This window comes from Homo sapiens, chromosome 2 (assembly GCF_000001405.40).
Source record: "Homo sapiens chromosome 2, GRCh38.p14 Primary Assembly".
NCBI classification, from domain to species: Eukaryota; Metazoa; Chordata; class Mammalia; order Primates; family Hominidae; genus Homo; species Homo sapiens.
This window is the reverse complement of record NC_000002.12, coordinates 155,542,383-155,563,733: the sequence shown is the minus strand read 5'-3', so window position 1 is coordinate 155,563,733 and position 21,351 is coordinate 155,542,383. Positions and strand designations below refer to the sequence as shown.

At 34.0% G+C, this 21,351-nt stretch overlaps 1 long non-coding RNA gene across 3 annotated transcripts in view, besides 1 other annotated feature; it reads right to left on the bottom strand.

Annotated features, from left to right (window-relative positions):
* The window catches only part of LOC107985953 (uncharacterized), a 139,261-nt gene that overhangs the window by 101,002 nt on the left and 16,908 nt on the right, over positions 1-21,351 (bottom strand). Inside the window, exons 3-4 of one of the 3 annotated variants that reach the window (XR_001739748.2) lie at positions 19,405-19,509; positions 2,739-3,293 (exon numbers count right to left, since the gene is read on the bottom strand). The exons of 1 other annotated variant lie outside the window; for it this stretch is intronic. This is a non-coding gene — a long non-coding RNA (uncharacterized LOC107985953). Of the gene's footprint in view, positions 1-2,738; positions 3,294-19,404; positions 19,510-21,351 lie in introns of those variants that run through there. One more of the 3 variants, XR_001739746.3, reaches the window with a different exon arrangement.
* Positions 16,131-17,224: an enhancer, noted in NCBI's record as "VISTA enhancer hs580". NCBI's record gives its function as "enhancer in: other[10/12]" and the evidence as "EXISTENCE:transgenic organism evidence [ECO:0001131][PMID:17130149]".

The window sequence follows — 21,351 nt, the reverse complement described above, 5'->3', positions numbered from 1 at the left end:
CAGAACTTAAGAGCCAAATATGAGAGTGACCTATATACGAGTGTGTGTTGCAGCCTCTTTCTTCTTATTGTAGATAAATGTTTCTAATGGTGACTTATCACTAAACTCTTCTGTGAAACTAGTGCCTCTTTCTGCTTCTGTGACTGTGTCTTGAGCCTTATGCTTCACTTGCCCTGTAAGCCTTCTTGGTCCTACCTTAGAGTACCTTGGGCCAAAAGAACTGGGTAGATCACAGCAGTGTTCTATGCACCATTGATAACATTTCTAGTAATCAGAAAAAGTGTTTGAGTTTGAAATACCTAGGTATCACTAATTTATATTTCATTATAGTTCTATAGTTTGTAAAGCGATTACCTCTTAATGTGTTGATTGAGTGGACAATGAATTCAAGAAATGACTGTCTGAATGAGTCAGTCTTTATTAGATATAACATCAAGTTATTTTTTAAAATATAAGCTATTAAAACTGAATATGTATGAGGTTTTCCTGAATATTAAAAATATATCTCTATTAACACAGCTTATAGTTAAATCTCTATATGGAATAATATTTGATAGAGTAGAATGAAAGTATTCAGATACAATATGGTTGAATGATTAGACTAAGCCATTTTAATACAAATTCTTCCTCAGAATTAAAGCTAATCATTAAATATTATAATGATTATATAAAAAGTGATCACCATACCATACATGATTTTTTGCTTTATAATGTTTTTACCTATTAACATTAGACATAAGATATCAAAAGACAACAGTAGCATTAGGTCTTTACAGTACTTTACAGGATAAGCTCACCACCATTTTGAAGAGATAACATACCAAAACATCCAGCCTATTCCAAAATAAAATGCAATTATCTTCCTGCAACATTTAAAGAAAGAAAACTATTATTTGAATAAAACTTGGTTTGATTGAGAAATGAGACACCACACAATGAATAAAAGATCAGTGCTGATCACTAGAGAAGGTAAGTCAATATGTAGGAAATGGGTTTATGAAAAGACACATTTTAATATATACCACAGAATTTAACAGATTTCACACATGAAATAAATTAATTACTGTCCCTGTCAGGGCCATTAAAATTTTTTTTCTTAAAATTGAAAATATATATGAGGATACTGAATATGGCCTTTGCGTTTGGTAATTGGCCAGACAAACATGTGAGAAAAAAAGGGTAACTTTGGATTTGTTCAATTTGTGTTTGTTGACTAGAGGTAAAACAACACTACTGATTTTCTTCCAATCTCCTCATTGAAGTCTTTGTACTGATTAATCTCCCAGAATAAAATATGAACTAGAATGGCATTCTTTTATATGTCACTATCTCTTGTCACATAGCTCATATACTAGAAATCTCTTTCTGAGAAAATTCAACTGCATATTTTTTTCAAAATTAATCCTGAGGTAAGTTTCTTAACAAAAATAAGACAAATAATAATTGCCATGAGAAAAAAGACGCCTTCATGTTAGATTTTAATTTCTAACTTAGAACTACACTTAATATCTTTTTTCTCCTTAAAAAGATATTCGTATAATAGTGCTAAATTTTGATCATACTCTTTGTAGTGTACTGCATTGTACTAGAAGCTGGACAATACTCTTAATCTCTTCTTTTGATAATAAAACCCTCAAAATGCTTAATATAGGGATTCACACATAGGGTTTAAAATTTCTGAGTAGATGATTGCTATGGGCTAAATTGTGTTTTCCCAAAATTCAAATGTTGAAACCCTAACCCTCCCAATGTGATGATATTCAGAGATGGAACTATTGGGAGATAATTAGGTTTACATAAGTTCATAAGGGTTGAAGGGTGTGGCCCTCATGACGGGATTAGTGCCTTTATAGGTAAAAGGAGAAAGACCAGAGTTCTTTTTCTACCACGTGAGGATGCAGTGAGATGTCTGTCCAAAAACCAGAAAGACAGCCTGCACCAGGAACTGAATCAGCCAGCTTCTTAATCCTGGACTGCACAGCCTCCAGGACTGAGAGAAATTAGCTGTTGTTTAAGGCATTTAGTCTATGGCATGTTGTTATAGCAGCCTGAGCTAATATAGTATGTATAAGTATAAAATAACTTGTCAAATCGTATTATGTTATGAAGAAAAAAATGATGGCAAATGAATTAAAGAGTGCTGCAGAAGGGCGTGAGGTTGTTTTATAGAGCATAATCAGGGAAGGATTCACATAACCGGGGCAAAGTAATGAAGGATGTTTGAGCAGAAGTATGCCTTTCTAGGAAAAAGTCAACACAAACTGAGAGAAAAGCACACACAGAGTCCCAAAGACAAGAATGTGTTTGTGAATTCTGGGACAGAAAACCAGAAAGATATGTGCTGAGAGATAAAGTGAGGAGCAGAGAGGGATTAGTGAAGTGGAACCTTGTGCACCATTGAAAAGTTTTACTTAGAGACAAGGGAAATCACTGAATGATTTTGAGCAAAGGAGTAACAGGATCTTATCTGTGTGTTTTTGTTTTGTTTTGTTTTTTGTTTTTTGAGACCGGGTCTCGCTCTGTCAGGCAGGCTGGAGTGTAATGGTGCGATCTTGGCTCACTGCAACCTCTGCCTCCCGGGATCAAGCGATTCTCCTGCCTCAGCCTCCCAAGTAGCTGGGACTGCAGGCATGCGCCATCACACCTGGCTAATCTGTATATTTTTAGTAGGGGCGTGGTTTCACCATAATGCCCAGGCTGGTCTCAAACTGCTGACCTTCTGATCCACCTGCCTCGGCCTCCTGAAGTGCTGGGATTATAGACGTGAACCACCGTGCCCAGCCTTATCGATGTTTTAAAAGTATCACTGTTTTTTTGTGTATTGAATTGACTGTAGAGGAACACAAGTACAATTAGAGAGACCAGTGACTTTTGAAAGAGTTCAACCAAGATTCCACAATGGTCTAGATCAGAATATCAAACTGGAAGTGATCGGAATTTTTTGGATGTATTTTGAAGAGCTAACAACACCATACTTATGCCAAAAACCTGAATTGGCTTCCTGTCATACCATGGTCTGCAAAAACTTACAGGTTTGGTTCCCTGGCTCCTTCTGCCACCTAATTTCTCTTACTTTCTTTGTGAATGCTCTCTAGTGAATCAAATCTATTTACAAACATCATGTCCTCAGAAACATCATGTCCTCAGAGAAGTTTTCTCAGAATACCCTACCTTATCCTAAATCCACCTACCTCATTTCACTCTCTTCTTGCTTGGATTTCTTCTCTTCATAGCACTTATAAATACATATCCATTATTATATTTTTTGTTCATTTATTCATCATCTGCCTCCCCTTTAAAAATATAAGCGTAATAGAAAATATCATATTTTGAAACAGACATGAATAAACTTTATATCAGCTTGACTTGAAAATTGCTATTACTCTTAAATGCTGATTATGTTATACATTGCTGAAAAAGAATCTAAAATCTCACAAATATTTATTGAATTCTATATTCATTTACAATTTGTGTTCCATACCTTATTCATTATGCTGCTTTCCATTGATTAATTACCTCTTAATCATAAAATGTAAGAAAAACTTATTAAGCCTACATGTCATAGCTTCTCTCACATTTATGATCTCATATTAAAAAAATGAAATTTTTATAAAAAACAGGGTTATGTAATCATGTGATTGTTTTATTACATTAGTGACCTAATACTATAAATGTGCTTTTAGCGAAAATCATGTTCTTTTATTTTTAAATCAATTCAAAAAGTTTACTGAATTCCTAAAATATATGAGGCCATCAAGCCAGACAACATTCCCACTCTCAAAAAGCTTATAGTCTAATAGTGGATCTCATATTGCTATCAATCTGGGAACAGTTAACGGCTTAATATCAAGACTTCTAATAAACACAACATGTCTCCATTTATTTGGTCTCTAATTTCTTTAATCAGTGTTTCATAGTTTTTTGCTTACACATGTACATACTTTATTAGATTTATACCTAAGTGTTTCATGTTTTGGTGGGTTTTTTTAACTTTTAAGTTCAGGAGTACATGTGCACATTTGTTATATAGGTAAACTTGTATCATGGGGGTTTGTTGTACAGATTATTTCACCACCTAGGTATTAAGCCTAGAACCCATTAGTTATTTTTCCTGACACTCTCCCTCCACCTACCTTTCACCCTCCAGTAGACACCAGTATGTGTTGCTCCTCTCTATGTGTCCCTGACATCTCATCATTTAGCTCCCACTTATAAGTGAGAACATGTAATATTTATTTTCTGTTCCTGAATTAGATTGCTAAGGATAATAACCTCCAGCTCCACCCATGTTGTGGCAAAAAAGATGATCCCATTCTTTTTATGGCTGCATAGTATTTCATGGTGCATATGTAACACATTTTCTTTATTCAGTATACCATTTAGGTTGATTCCATGTCTTTGCCATTGTGAATAGTGAATATGTGTGTATGAATATACGTGAATATATGTGTGCATGTGTCTTTAGAATAGGATAATTTATATTCCTTTGGGTGTATACCTGTTAATAGTCATGGGATTCCTGGGTCAAATGGTATTTCTGTTTTTAGGTCTTTGAGGAATTGCAACACTGTTTTTCACAATGGTTGAACTAATTTACACTCCCTACAACAGTTGTATAAGTTCCTTTTTTTTCTCTACAACCTCACTAGCATGTGTTATTTTTTGACTTTTAAATAACAGCCATTCTGATTGGTGTGAGATAATATCTCATTGTGGTTTTGATTTGTATGTCTCTAATGATCAGGGATGTTGTGCTCGTTTTCATGTGCTTGTGGTCCTCATATATGTCTTCTTTCAAAAAGTGTCCATTCGTGTCCTTTACCCACTTTTTAATGGAGCTGTTTGTTTATTTCTTGTAAATTTGTTTGAGTTCCTTACTGATGCTTGATATTAGACTTTCATTAGATGCACAGTTTGCAAATATTTTCTCCTATTCTGTAGGTCATCTATTTACTCTGTTGATAGTTTTTTTTTTCTTTGGAATTGCTTTTGGCATCTTCGTCACGAAATCTTTGCCCATTCCTGTTCCTATGCCCAGAATTGTATTGCCTAGGTAGTCTTCCAGTTTTTATAGTTTCGGGTTTCACAACTAAGTCTTTATTCCACCTTGAGTTAATTTTTGTATATGATGTACGGAAGGGGTCCAGTTTCAATCTTCTGCATATGGCTAACCAGTTATCCCAGCACTATTTATTAAATAGGGAGTGAGTCCTTTTCCCATTGCTTTATTTTTAAGTCAACTTTGTCAAAAATCAGATAGGTGCAGGTATGTCTGGGCTCTCCATTGTGTTTCATTCGTCTATGTTCCTGTTTTTGTACCAATACCAAGCTGTTTTGGTTACTGTAGCCTTGTCATATAGTTTGAAGTTTGGTAGCATGCTTCCTCCAGCTTTGTTCTTTCTGCTTAGAAATGCCTTGGCTATTTGGGTTCCTTTTTGGTTCCATATGAATTTTAAAATACTTTTTCTAATTATAGGAAAAATGTATTGATAGTTTAATAGGAATAAAATTGAATCTATAAATTTGGAGAGTATACCCATTTTTATGATATTGAGTCTTACTATCTATGAACATGGAATGTTTTTTGCATCATCTCTGATTTCTTTGAGCAGTGTTTTGTGGTTTTCCTTGTACAGATCTTTCACCTTCCTGGTCAGCTGTCTTCTTAGGTATTTTATTCTTTTTGTGGCAATCATGAATGGGACTGCATTCCTGATTTGGCTCTCAGCTTGGCTGTTGTTTGTGTACAGGAATGCTAGTAATTTTTGCACATTGATTTTATTTCCTGGGACTTTGTTGAAGTTGTTTATTAGCTTAAGAAGCTTTTGGGCTAAAACTGTTGGGTTTTCTAGATATAGGACCATGTTGTCTGCAAACAGGGATAGTTTGACTTACTCTTTTCCCGTTTGGATGCCCTTTATTTCTTTCTCTTTCCTAATTCCTCTGGCTAGGACTTCCAATGCTATTTTGAATAGGAGTGGGGAGACAGGGCATCCTTGTCTTGTGCTGGTTTTCAAGGGGAATGCTTCCAGGTTTTTCCCATTCAGTGTTATGTTGGCTGTGGGTTTTCATAGATGGCTCTTATTATTTTGAAGTATGTTCATTCAATACTTAGTTTATTGAGAGTTTTTAACATGAAGGGATATTAAATTTTATCAAAAGCCTTTTCTGCGTCTTTTGAGATAATCATGTGGTTTTTGTCTTTAGTTCTGATTATTTGGCAAATCACATTTATTGATTTGTGTATGTTGAACCAACCTTGCATCCCAGTGATAAAGCCTACCTGATTGAGGTGGATAAGCTTTTTGATGTGCTGCAGAATTTGGTTTGCCAATATTTTGTTGAGGATTTTTGCACCAATGTTCTTCAAGGATACTGGCCTGAAGGTTTCTTTTTTGTTTTATCTCTGCCAACTTTTGGTATTAGGATGAGGTTGGCCTCATAGAATGAGTTAGGGAGGAGTCCATTCTTTTCAATTGTTTGGAATAATTTCAGTAGGAATGGTACCAGCTCTTCTTTGTTTATCTGGTAGAATTCAGCTGTGATCTGTTCAGTCCAGGACTTTTTTTTTCTGGTTAGTTGGCTATTGCTGATTCAATTTTGGAGCTCATTATTGGTCTGTTCAGGGGTTTAATTTCTTTCTGGCTCAGTTTTTGGAGGATGTATGTGTCCAGGAATTTATCCATTTCTTCTCAATTTTATAGTTTATGTGCATAGAGGCATCCATAATACTCTGATGATTATTTGTGTTTTCTGTGGGGTCAATAGTAATATCCCCTTTGTCACTTGTTACTGGATATAATTTACTAATTGTTTATTGTGCATTTTTACATGTATGTTCTTAAGAAATATTGGTCTGCAATTTTGGTTTCTTATCTTTTTCCTGGTTTTGGTATCAAAGCAATGCTGGCCTCATAACAAGATTAGAAAGTCTTCACTTCTCTTCTATTTCCTGCAAGAGATTGTGATGAATTAGTATTTTTTCTTTCTTAAATATTTGGTAGAAGCCACCGGTGAAGTCAAGTTGGCTTGAAGTTTCCTTCATTTGAAGGATTTTACCTACAAACTCAATTCCACAAATCCTTATATAACAATTTAGACTATGTATTTCTTCTACAGCAAGCTTTGATTGTTTGAGACTTTCAAGGTTATAACATTTCATCGAAGTTGTTGATTTTATGGTATTTAAGTTGTTCATAATATTTATTTCCTTATTATTCTTTCATTGTCTGTAATATCTACAAGGAGATTCTGCTTATCTTCTTGATATTTTGACAATAATTTCTCTTTTTTATCTCTTTCTTTTTTCAGACTCCCTTTCTCTCTCTCTCTCTCTTCAGTCAAGACGGCTGAAGGTTTATAAATTGCATTGATGTTTTCAAATAGCTAGCTTTTTATTTGACTGATTTTCTTGTTGATATTCCCTGTTTTCAGTTTCATTGATATCTTATACATTAATTACTTCCTTCCTTCTATTTGCTTTCTGTTTAACATTATCTTTTCCTACATTATTAGAGTGAAAACCTTATACCATTAATTTAAAATCTCTTTTGTAATTTATATCTTGATTTTAATTATATTAATTATATAATTATATATTTCATGTATAATTAACACAATATATTATGTATTCTATATAATAGCAAATACATTATATGAATACATATATGTATATGTAATTTCATATAAATATATAATAATAGTTATAGCATTTAATTTAATTACCTTTACTTCTAAGTACTATTTTAGCTGCTTCCCCTACATTTTCAAATGTTTTATTTTTCTTAAATCCCAAATATTTATAATTTCCCTTATGACTTCATCTTTAGCCTCTTTTAATTAAGAAATATGTTATTTAATTTCCAAATATTTCAGGATTCTCTAGTATCTTTCTGGTAACGATTGCCAGTTGAATTCCATTTTAGTCAAAGAACACATTTTGTATTATTTCAATTTATATTATTTTCTTTTAAGTTTATTTATTTTCCAGCATATACTTACCCTGATGAATATGTCATATGCACCTGAAAATAATATGTATTCTGATGACTTTCTGTAATCATTAATTAGGCCAATTGGATTTACACTGTTGTTTTGGTCTTTTATAACTTTAATAGTTTTTTGTCTACTTTTTCTATTGATGATTTGTAGAGAAGTGTTGATATCACCAATCATTATTTTGATTTTTTTCTGTTAATTTCTACTTTTACTTCTATCAGCTTTTGCTTTATGAATTTTGATGCTTTTTAGGCAGTACATTTATATTTAATATTACTGTCTCTTCTTGCTGAATACACCCTTTCATCATCTTGTAATGTCCCTCTTTATCTCAAATAATAAGCTTTGTTTTGAAATATTGAAGTATCCACCCCCATCTTCTTTTTCCTGATTAATGTCTGCATAATACATTTTCTTCATACATTATTTTTACTTGTCTAGATTTCTATACTTCAAGTGAAACTTTTGAAGGCAGCATATCATTATGTCTGGCTCCTTCCTAACAATGCCTTTCTTTTAACTGGTTTGTTTAGACTATTTACCTTTAATATTATTACTATTATGGTATATTTTTGTCTATCATCTTTTTAGTAATTTCTGTTTAAGTATTTTTCCATCCTCTTTTTGGGTCTACTTTAAATGAAATTGATTATTTTTTATTTTTCCTTTTTAATCACATTATTATTTATAGGTATTTAAAAATTGTGTAACCCTAAGGTTTACTCTTTTTCTCTCTATATATAGTAATATATGTATATAAAAATATGTATATATTTGATTAATCACAGTCACCTTCAAATTATAAATTGCTTCATGCATAAGCTATAAATCTATAAAAGTATACTCCCAAATTCTTTTTTTATCTGTTCTTATTTTATATTATATTTTACTTTATGTAATACCTTGCTAATATATTTACTATAGACTATCATTTTTCTTCTAGATAAATTAGCAACAAAAATGTCTTCCATACTTTAATTTTCGGGTAATTTTTATTTCTTTGCCTGGATTCATGTTTCTGTCTGACATTATAGTTATTCTACGTAAAAAACTTCCTTTACCTTTTCTTGTAATCTAGGTTTTATTTGTCAATATGTTGTTATTTCACCATTTTTGAAAAATATTTTTGCTATGTTTAGAATTTTAGGTTGACAGATCTGTTTCACTTTTGTTTCTTTCAGCACTTCATGTTTCACTTCATTCTTCTGACTTGCATGAAATGTCTTTTCTAATTCTTATCATTATTCATATTTATTCGATTAATCTTTTTTATTTGTCTAATTCAGTATTAACTTTATATCATAAGCTTTAGCAGTTTTTATACGATATTTCCAGATAATGATGTTGGGATTATTTGCCCTGCGTGGAGCTCTTGAGATTTTTGGACATACAGTTTGATGTTTTTCATTATTCTTCCCTGTTCTCTCTTTTCTCCCCCTTATATTCCAGCTATATATATTTAGAATGTTTGTTATTGTCTGAGATCTCTTTAATGTTGTGTCAGTTTGTTTAAATTATCTTTTTTCCACTTGTGTTTCAGTTCAGATAATTTTCATTGATCTATCTTCAAATTCAACCATGTTTTTCTTGATAGTTTTGATCAACTGGTGAATGAATCCCTTGAAGATATTCTTGCTCTCTGTGATTGTAGTTTTTAAAATTTCTAGTGTTTTCATTTGACACTTTCTTAAAATTTTATCCCCCTACTAAAATTATTTATTTATTTATGTATATTAGCTATTATTTCCACTAGAGTCTTTACCATATTGATTATACTTATTTTTAAATTTCTCTCTAATAATCTAAGCCTCTGGGCCATTTCACAGTTGGCTTCTGTTGTCAGGTATCAAATGAGGCTTTTGTTCTCGCATTTTTAGTATCTCTTAACATTTTATTCATCGCTGTACATGGCCTATAGAAACATAATATATAGAAACTGAGGTATGTATGTCGAGAAATAGGAACCCCCTCTTCATTTGTGGTGGATTGAGTCAACCTATTTAGGAATTGAGTTGGTTTTGGTTTTTATTGTCCTGCAGTGACTTTTAGTGCACCACTGGCTTCATTTTTCTCTGTTATAATCACCTGCTTATAGTAGAGATTACATACTGTAGGAGTCTTCTCCATGTTCCTGCTTCATCCTCAGCAGGAACTCTGACACTTTAGAAAGGGTTTCTGTCTGTGTTCTTGCCCCTCTTTCCTCAGGAAATGCTACCTAACCTAGTGCTGGGGAAGTGGAGGCAGGGGTTCTCTGCTTGCTTGACTCAGTTTGTGTCACAGAAGCAGAATATTTTCTATAACTGTTAAAATCTTTCAGTAATCATTTGCATGACACTGTATGTTGAAAGTTTAACTAGGTATAAATAATTAAATTGAAATATTTTACTGTGAACAAATAATTTGAATGCAATATTTTGTATTTGAATATAATTATCATTATATTTTCACAAAGTAAAATAGTATCATTTTAATGATGCGTTTGCACTAAACCTTGGCATTTGTTGCTGCAAGGAGATATTCCCTGTCATTCAAATTATTATTCACTTTTAGATAATTTGTCTTTTAATCTCGGCTACTTTTAAATTTTCTTTTTCTTTAAAAATTTGAAATCCTATGTCAATAAATCTAAAGTTTTTGTTTTGGATTTAAGTTGTCCATCTCATAACACAGTGAGCTTTTTGAACCTAAAGACTCATTGGCTTTTGTTTTGTTTTGTTTTTTACCTTTTGGAAAATCTCTATTATTTCTTTCAATAGACCTTCTTCCTAAATGTTCATATTATTTTTCTATCACTCTTCAGAGACATACAGTAAATTTTCTCATTCTAGTGTTTAAATAACTGAACTAACATACATTCTGCAAGTTTAGAGAATGTTGTTTTTAGTTAAACATGTGGAGACAATGACCAGTTAATAATATACTGGTCAAAGGAGATTAATCTTAATCTCTTTTTTATATACTGAATCTCTTTTTTATATTTTCTCTCATTTCATCTGAGTTCTGTTTTATTTCCTCAAGTATATTACATATACTCAGTTTCTCTCAGTTTCTATCTATTTTCTTGTTGGATCCATCCATTTAGTTCTTCATTTCAATGAGTATGTTGTATTTCACCTATTCTCAGGTGCATATTTTAATATTTTTTATCTCTGAAATTGTGACATATTTGCTACCTGATGGCATGCTAAAACTATCACCAGGTGTGTGTTATTATTAACTAGTAATTGTCTCCACATATATAACTAAAAACAACATTCTCAAAACTTGCGGGATGTATGTTAGTTCACTTATTTTTAAAAAATCTCATGTAGATATTGAATTAAAAAAAAGAAAATGTATTGTTGGTAGTTAATGCTAAATGTACTGGTCATCCCATCTACCTGCCTGTTATCTGAATCATCTCTCTCAAGTTCAAAGTCCCATCTACCTACCTTTCAGAGTTACATCTAATACCTTCAAGTGGTAATTTGAAAGACCAAACAAATAGTATTTTGCTTGTGTTAAAATGCTCATTTTTCTAATGAATGCTAACAAAAAAATAATGACATAATTTTCCACCAATTATCATTTAGTTAAAACTAATAAAATTAAATATATATTTAAGAGACCACTATGTATATGACAATAGCTGAAAATACAGCTTTTGATTCAAATAGACATGTTTACAAAATTAGATTCTTCCATTAATGCCTGCACAATAAGAAAAAAAGTCACTAGATCACTCTATGGCACCTAATGTTAACTCACTATCAAGTCTCTAGTGTTCCCATCTTCCTTAGTGATGCAAACCTAAATTTGAGTTTAGAGCCAAGATTAAAATCTGTATTACTAGCCTAGATTTTTGTAACATGGACTATGTGGCTAGATTATGCCCTATATGATTTACTGAGGAAAGTTGTGTGGAAATTATAGGAAATTTTCTTGGAAAAATGGGGCAAAATCCTTCTTTCTTCCTCACTTTTCCTGCTGCTTACAGTATGAATGTAATACCTGGAAGTCTACCAGCCATCTTTGACCATGTGGTGATGGGCTGCATAAGGCAGAGCAGAAGGATAGAATTCTGAGTCCCTGATGAAACTTTGTAGCCACAATGGCATTTCTGGTCTTCTTATATTTAAGAAATATATCTGTAAACTTGCATTGATATTATTTTAAAAATGTTTTTCTACGCTGATGAACTAGCTTGCATCTGCTCATCTATAAAGTTTAAATAATTATAGTAATGATATAGTTTGGCTGTGTCCCCTCCCAAATCTCATCTTGAATTATAGTTCCCATAATCCCCACCTATTGTGGGAGGGACCTGGTGGGAGGTAATTGAATCATGAGGGCGGTTTTATCCATGCTATTCTCATGATAGTGAGTGAGTTCTCATTAGATCTGATGGTTTTATAAGGGGTTTTTCCCTCCCCTTTGCTCTGCCCTTCTCCTTGCTGCCACCATGTGAAGAAGGTTGTGTTTGCTTCCCCTTCCACCATGACTGTCAGTTTCCTGAGGTCTCTCTGGCCCTGAGGAAATGTGAGTCGATTAAACCTCTTCCCTTCATAAATTACCCAGTCTTGGTTATTTATTCATAGTAGCATGAGAATGGACTAATAGAGTAAATTGGTACTGCAGAGAGTGGGTGTTGCTATAAAGATGCCTGAAAATGCAGAAGCAACTGTGGAACTGGGTAACAGGCAGAGGTTGGAACAGTTTGAAGGGCTTGGAAGAACGTAGGAAAATGTGGGAAAGTTTGGAACTTTCTAGAGTCTTGGAGGGCTCAGATAGCAGGAAGATATGAGAAGGTTTGGAACTTCTAAAAGACTTGTTGAATAGCTTTGACCAAAATGCTGATAGTGTTATGGACAATGAAGTCCATTCTGAGGTGGTGTCAGATGGAGATGGGGAACTTGTTGGAAACTGGATCGCTCTTGCTATGCAAAGAGACTGGTGGCATTTTGCCCCTGCCCCAGACTTTGAACTTGAGAGAGATGATTAAGGGTATCTGATGGAAGAAATTTCTGTTTTTGTCACCCAGGCTGGAGTGCAGTGGTGCAATCTTGGCTCACTGCAAGCTCCGCCTCCCAGGTTCATGCCATTCTCTTGCCTCAGCCTCCTGAGCAGCTGGGACTACAGTCGCCCACCACCACGCCCAGCCAATTTCTTTTGTATTTTTAATAGAGACAGGGTTTCACTGTGTTAGCCAGGATGTTCTCGATCTCCTGACCTCGTGATCCACCCACCTCAGCTTCCCAAAGTGCTGGGATTACAGGCGTGAGCCACTGCGCCTGGCCAACAGAAGAAATTTCTAAGTAGAAAGGCATTCGAGAGGAAGCAGAGCATAAAAGGTAGGAATCTTTGCAGCCTGGCAATGTGATAGAAAAAAAAAACCAAAAAACTATTTTCTGTGAGAAATTCAAGCTGGCTGCAGAAATTTCCATAAGTAACAAGGAGCTGAATGTTAATCACCAAGACAATGGGGAAAATGTCTCCAGGGCATGTCAGAGAACTTCACAGCAACCCCACAGCACAGGCCCAGTGGCCTAGGAAGAAAAAATGGTTTCCTGGGCCTGATCCAGGGCCCCCCCTACTGTGTGCAGCCTAGGACTTGCTGCCTTTTGTCCCAGCTGCTCTAGTCATGGTTAAAAGGGCCCAACATATAGTTCAGGCCATTACTTCAGAGGGTGCAAGCCCCAAGCCTTGGCAGCTTCCACATGGTGTTGAGTTTGTAGGTGTACAGAAGTCAAGAATTGAGGTTTGGAACCTCTGCCTAGATTTCAGAGGATGTATGGAAGTGCCTGGGTGTCCAGGCAGGAGTTTGCTGCAGGGGAAGGGTCCTCATTGAGAACCTCTGCTAGGGCAGTGCAGAAGGAAAATGTGTGGTTTGAGGCCATACACAGAGTCCCCACTGGGGTGCTTCCTGGGGGAGCTGTGAGAAGAGTGCTACGGTTCTCCAGACCCCAGTATGGTAGATCCATTGACAGCTTGCATCATGCACCTGGAAAAGACACAGGCACTCAATGCCAGCCCAAGAACGCAGCCAGGAGGGAGGTTGTACCCTGCAAAGCCACAGAGCTGGAGCTATCCAAGACTATGGTGACCTGGATGTGAGACATAGAGTCCAAGGAGATCATTTTGGAGCTTTAAGGTTTGATGACTGCCCTATTGGATCTTATACTTGCAAGGGGCCTGTAGCCCCTTTGTTTTGGCCAATTTCTTCCATTTAGAAGAGCTGTATTTATGCAATGCCTATATCCCCATTGTATCTAGGAATTAACTAACTTGCTTTTGATTTACAGGCTCATAGATGGAAGGGACTTACGTTGTCTCAGATGAAACTTTGGACTTGGAATTTTGGGTTAATGCTGGAATGAGTTAAGACTTTGGGGGACTGTTCAAAGGGCATGGTTGTGTTTTGAAATATGAGGAAATGAGATTTGGGTGGGGCCGGGGTGGAATAATATTGTTTGGCTTTGTCCTCACTCAAATCTCATCTTGAATTGTAGTTCCCATAATCTCCACCTATTGTGGGAGAGATCTGGTGGGAGGTAATTGAATCATGGGGTGGTTACCTCCATGCTGTTCTCATCATGATAGTGAGTGAGTTCTCACAAGATCTGATGGTTTTATAAGGGGCTTCCCCCCCCACCCCACTTCACTCTGCCCTTCTCCTTGCTGTCACCATGTGAAGAAGGATGTGTTTGCTTCTCCTTCCACCATGATTGTGAGTTTCCTGAGGCCTCCTCAGCCCTGCAGAACTGTGAGTCAGTTAAACCTCTTTCCATGATAAATTACCCAGCCTCAGATATTTCTTCAAGCAGTGTGAGAACAGACTAATATAGTGACTATTTCTTTAGGTTTTTTGTTATAAAGAATAAATTAGGAATGTATGAAATTTTGTAGCCCAGTGCCTGGCACACAGAAATTGTTTTAAAAATGTTGGCCAATTTTGTGCATTATAAAAAAGTTGTTAATGTGATTTCTTCCTTTGAAAATGTCACGTATCATAAAGCCCATTTTTCCCCTTTCTATCTTCCACAACATGACATGTAGTCAATAACAATGCGATTTGCAAATAATCTGAATATATAAAATTATGTAAAAATATGTCAAAATTCAAACAAGCTAAAGAATATGTAGGAATTCCTTTGAAGCCTGTGATTAACTATATTCATTTTTAAAAGAAAATTATTTCTTTTATATGATGCATATGTTATCGATAGTTATAATACAAATCAATCATTCTATGTATAAATACAGCCCACCTAAATATTTACGTAGGTAAGAAAAGAAATTTACCTATTCTTGTAAAAGAGTATTCCTACAAAACAAAATTTGATTTTTGAAGTGTGTATATTAAGATTTAGGTAAATATATCTCTCTACATATTTTAATTTTAGAGTAAAGTATGGTCCTTTAATGCCTTCTTATAAAACTATTACATTTTCATTATGTTGTAACCACGAATTTTCTACAAAACATCCCTAGAAGATCAAACCTCTCTTTAGATTGAGTGAAAGATGTACAAAAGTGGGGGATTTTCCTTTGGCCTACTTGAAGGTAATAATTAAAGTTTTGTGTCTCTGCCCATTGTTCTGGGGTTACATGGATTCAAGCTTATTGACAACCCAACCCTGGTATTACATTTTCTATGAGATCATATATTCTATCTCGCCAACAGGAGATAATCCGAATGTCAAATGTGAGTTGCATTTTTGTGTTTGACTAACTTCCATGTGTATTGGAAGGCAGGATAAGGATAGTGGAGCATTTAGACAGCTTTACTTCTAATACATGTAACAGGTAAAGTTGCCTCCTGAATCACTATGAATGTCAATGGGTGCCAAATCATAGAAGTTTCTGCAGCAAGCATCTGAATAGTCCCAATTTTGTCATATGTAGAATGTGCATGCTTTGTTCTGACGGTTGTTTTCTTACAGACCTTGCATATGTAAGGTGCAATTCTGCAATTCCTCTTAGAAGCACTATTCTTTATTTTATTGAAAAGCAGAACAAGGAGTGGCATAAAACCTATATAATTCACAGGCTTGTAAGTTAAGGCCTCAGGCAAACCATTCTTTCTTTTGTCTTGTCCCCCATACTTGCAGGACAATCTCAATGTTAACTTGTTCTACACTGAGAGGACGTATTATACGCTGACCTCCCCAAATAATAACTATCAAACATGCTTTATATCTTCTTTACCTTATGATTGATTCTTAACCTAGTTTTTCTTTATTGTATTATTAAGTGAATATTATATAAATATTAAGATGGGTGATTTCGTCCATAAAAGATACATCTTTTTAAAACCAAAGTAAGACTGAAAATAATGTTTTACTGACTTGGAAAGTGAAAGTGAAAGTGTTAATGATCCTGTACTGGAATGGCACTTACCTTAATACTGATGTAGAGGCAGATACCATATTTATCTTAAACTACCCCAGAGCAAAGAACCTGTGAAGAAGACAGTTACCTTCGGAACCATATTTATCACGTAAATAGCTCAGAAAAGGATACTGCCAGTTACATCTTTAAAGTACAAAAATGCATGCATTTCACTATTTTGTAAATGCCAGAGAGATGCAGCATCCGTTAGAGTTAACGGTGCGGCACTTTTGTGTTCAGTAGCATGAATCATTAATCATGAGACAGGCCATATTCTTGTACTGCTTCTGCTTTCATTACTTGGCCTAATTAAACAGTTCTCTGAACTGGAATCTCAGATTCCTCTGTTACAGATTATCATTAATTATGGTGAAAGTGCTCAGAGATGTTGGACTCAATTATATTCTACTCAACTCTGGCACCGTGTGATTCATTGCGCAGCCTGCTCTGCAGATGTACTCTTTTCTTATCTCGCACTCCCACTTTTGTAAATTGGGCTCTGGCAGCCAACAAACTAAGAGTTATGTGCTGCGTTTTCATTAAAAACATGTTGGAGAAGCACAGACCAATTAAGGATTCTGTATTTTATAAGGAGTGATGAGACGAACAGTGGATTCTGGGAGAATTAGCTCTGTGAAGGAGCAATCTCAATCTTATTGTATTGCTAAATTTGGTGCCTGGGTTTTTGAGGGGTTTTTTGTTTTGTTTTGTTTTTCAATTGGCTAAGTCTCTGGCTTGCAACTTTTTAAAAAAATTAAAATAAATTAATTTATTGCAAACTCAATAGAAAGAAACTCAAAATTGTGTTTGGTGCTTGTGTGAGCTACTGGAAAACATTTCCAGTGACATATGCCAAACATATTATAGCTCAAAAGACACTAATTTCACCAACTTTGACAGTCATTTTTATGCTATGTAATACAATCTCTTCTATAGCACTAAGTTTAGGCAGACTGGACTAATATTTTGGCATAGACAAAGCCAGAATATCAGGATTTGCAGGCTTTGGGTAGTGTTTGGGATATGTGTTTGGGGGAAGGGGAGTGTATGATTTGACATATGGCACATGCGAATCAAATTATCCCAAAGTACTTCTATTGCATTTAAAATTTGTTTATTTGTTTAAGGAATCTATTTTTTTTTCTTTTTTTATTCTCCTTCCCTCCCTTGTTCTGTCTCTCCCTACCTCTCTCCTTCCCTCCTCCCTTCTTTCCTTCTTTTTTGTCTTTCTCTTTCAGGGGAGTCAAAAGATTTTTCTTTTGTTTCAAATAATACAGAAACTGTATTTTAGTAATTAAAATGTAACAAAGCTTATAACAAACTAATGTCTTCAGTTTCCCCATTGGCTACAAAACCATACCAAAAAACCTAAATGTTTAAAATCAATAGTATTTTAGCATTTCATGAAAAGAAACTATGTTTATCTAATTTAAATGTGAAAAAACACAAAAATGAAATTTTATTTGCAGATTATCTTTAAGAAGTTGCATGGCCTTTGATACTTTATGGATCATAATTCAGAGATTTTACAGAAACTAAACTGCAGTGATAAACATGCAAATACATTTGGGAAGCGTTTAAGTAGGCTATTCAGTTTTCTCTTCCTTTTTTATCATAAATTCTAAATTATAATAGAAATACTTGGCATTTAAGACAGCTGGTCTTAAAGTGAAATCAATTGTCATTCAATTTACTTCTGTTGTCATTAAAAAAATAAATTCTCAGGGTTTTACCTGAAAACATTTATTTAATAAAAAGTAAGCATTAAAATAATTTTATAATATGAGAAGTTTGTGTTATTATTGATAAGATGATATAATTATATCATTCAATGACAATTTTTTTAAAATCTCAGGGCAGAACACAATTTCACAATTTCATCTATAGTGACAGAAGAAAGCTCTAAGAGCTGTACTTATGACCGATCATTTATTTAAATGAAGCAAATAGATTAAAGCCAGTATTTTCTAACTGAAAAATTTGTTATTCTTATAATATGTGATAAAAATACTATTTATTCAAACAAAATATGAGGCTAGGGGTTTCCTTTTTTTTAATTTCCTCTTTCCACTTTAAAGATATGGTACCAAATGGCAAAACTGCTATGCTTGTCTCCCTTTGTTTCTCATGTGAGAAGTTAACAAAATAGCACACAAGTAACTCTTATCACAAAGCTCTTCTCAGAGGTGAAATATGAACAGCATTGTCTTGGTTCAAGTCAACTCAACTAGTCATATGTGTCATCATTATTGCTTGCTCTCTATTTTCACAAGCATAACTTCTGTTTGTTTTATATTAAAAATTGTCTTGACCCTCATCTGAAACTCACTTTCCTGCATCATGAGATATGTACTGGATATATTCACCCACAAGATCAGGCCCAAAAATTAGGGAAGTGTACATCTCTTCTCTTATTTTTATGTTATCTAAAAGTTTCTGTTTTGATTTTTCCTAAATGAAGTTTAATTTTTGTATATTTTCATTGACTATGTGTCCATTTTTCCTAAATGCAGGTCAGGAAGAGAACAAAAATAAAACAATGTGGAGGAAAAAAGTTCTAGATGTAAGCCTTTGGGCTTAACAATTTGTAGGTTTTCATATCGTGCAGTAGTTTCAGGTTTTAATATATATGAAAATCAGTGGTCTTGTATCTATGCATATGTGTCGTCTATAATATAATTTTGACAGATGGTGAGCTGGATAAATCTAGTCCCTGACTATAGAAAACCTTGGCTTGACTTGCACTCTACCAAAACTTGTTTTAAAAAGCATTCACATGTATTTATTTTTTAAATAAAGATTCATTTTTTGGCCTGCCCTTATTTCTCATTGAGATGCCGGCATCCTCATTTTTGACAGTCCCATGTATGCATTTTACCTGAATTGTGATTTTTTTACAGGATTATTCCATGCATAATGCTGATGACTATACTATTTTACATCTCCTCCTTATTAAAAATAAATATGTTACCTTGCCCCTGTTTGCACCCACTAAAATTCTGACAAAAATATCTTACTTAAAAAACAAATACAAACCTAGAAACCAGGAAGCAGTTTCTCCCACTAGCAGCTCCAGACAGACTGCTCATTGAAAATGTAATACACTGCTGCTGTGTCACAGGTCAGCTGGCAAATGGCAATCTGAATTTTAAAAGGAATATGAATAAAATTCTGTTTTATTTTGAAAATGAACTTTCTGCCCTCCATCATGAATCCAATATATGTCTTAATCTTCTATGCTCTTGAAGCCTGCGGCTCCTGGCTGAGTCCTTTGACTCCTGAACCTAATAAGGAAATAGGTTGTTTTCTCATCCTCGTCTCATTTTTAGAAGGGCTGAAACAAACAGTCCCCTATTTCAAATGTAATTGACAAAGCATAAAAACATGTATGTTATATAATTTTAGGTTTACAACCAAGCTCAACACTGGGATGTTTTATTTTTAAATTTGATTAAGATGTTATACCTTTGGAAATGTGCTGTCAAGGTTTGAAATCAAAATTTCCAAGTATACAATGCATGTTTACCTTAGAACTGTACATGTGAAGCTGATAAAGGATAGAATGGATAATGGTACACTTCAATTGGGAACATTTTCATTTAACCTGGACATTATTTAGAGCCATACGGAGAGACGTATAGACAGAATTTAAAAATGTATATTTGTGGCTATTGTTTGCTGTTTAAAAATCAGCTGGGTGTGTGCCATGTCTGTAACTATGTTTGCTTTTTTCTCCTAAATAGAAGTTAGTTCATTATGCTACATTTATAAACTTATTATTTACACATTCATTTAAATTAATGATTTCTAATTAGAAAGTGCTTTTCTTTCCAGAAAAATAAGATTTTGATTTTTGAGTGTTTGTCCTTTTTTATTAGAAAATTCTAGGAATAATATATTGCCATGGCATAATTACTATTGTTCTTTTTTAATAAAATAATTATAGAAACTATTCTTTAAGAAGAGAAATGGTAGAATTTAAAGCACTTAAATAAATACAATTAGGCGTCCTATGCTGCTAGGATATCTTATATTTGTGTAGCATCATCACAACCTAACTGAACATTCTAAGGACATAAAGGCTGACATTTCAATGTGTATGTGCATCTTGTGTGTGAAACTGAGAGAGAGGTGCACATGAAAAGTTAAGCAATTAGTTATTTTAAGACTTGGATTTTGTTTTAACCTAAAAGTAGTCAATTATTGTTTTTCAGAAGAGAGTTATATTTTAAATGTCTTTTGTTATTGTATGGCCATTCTAAGCTTAGAGCAATTAGCATATTTACAATGACACTTTAATTACTAAATGTTAGAATAATGGAAAATTTTTAAAAACTTTAATTTCAGTAGCTATATCTAGTCCCTGTTCCCTTTCCTGATGTTCCAATAATGCATAGGCTCATAGAAAGCATGAACTAATATATACTTGATAGAGTCATTCATGAATCAACAAATAATTATTGAATATCTAAATACTGAATTAATAACTAAGTATACAAAGATAAATAGAACATGGTGTAGCAACAATAAGATGGTCTTTTAGTTAGAGTAATCAGACAAATAATATAAGAGTTCCATCTGTGAGACAAGTGAAATGATAATGGTACCAAAAGGTGAGTTAAAAGCACAGAGGAAGACAGATAACCTGGTGTGGGGAAGAGGATCCCAGGGAAAACACTGTGGGAAAAGTCATGCTTAAGAATATTCTTAAGAGATTACGTGAACTATGTTAGATGAAGGGAAGCTTTAGATTATCTTCCTATGGAGTAAATTAATTTTATGCAGGCATGAAAATTTTTAATGTGTAAGTAAAAGAAGGGATAAATGTATGTTGAATAACTGACAATATGAAACATAGAGTCCATATTGTGGATAACTTCTTATTAATAATATTTGTTTACTGCTTCCTCATCAGATAGCAGCCATGTAGTTGGGAAGATAATGGTTTCAGATCCAGGAACATGTGTTGCTTAGGGTAAGCCA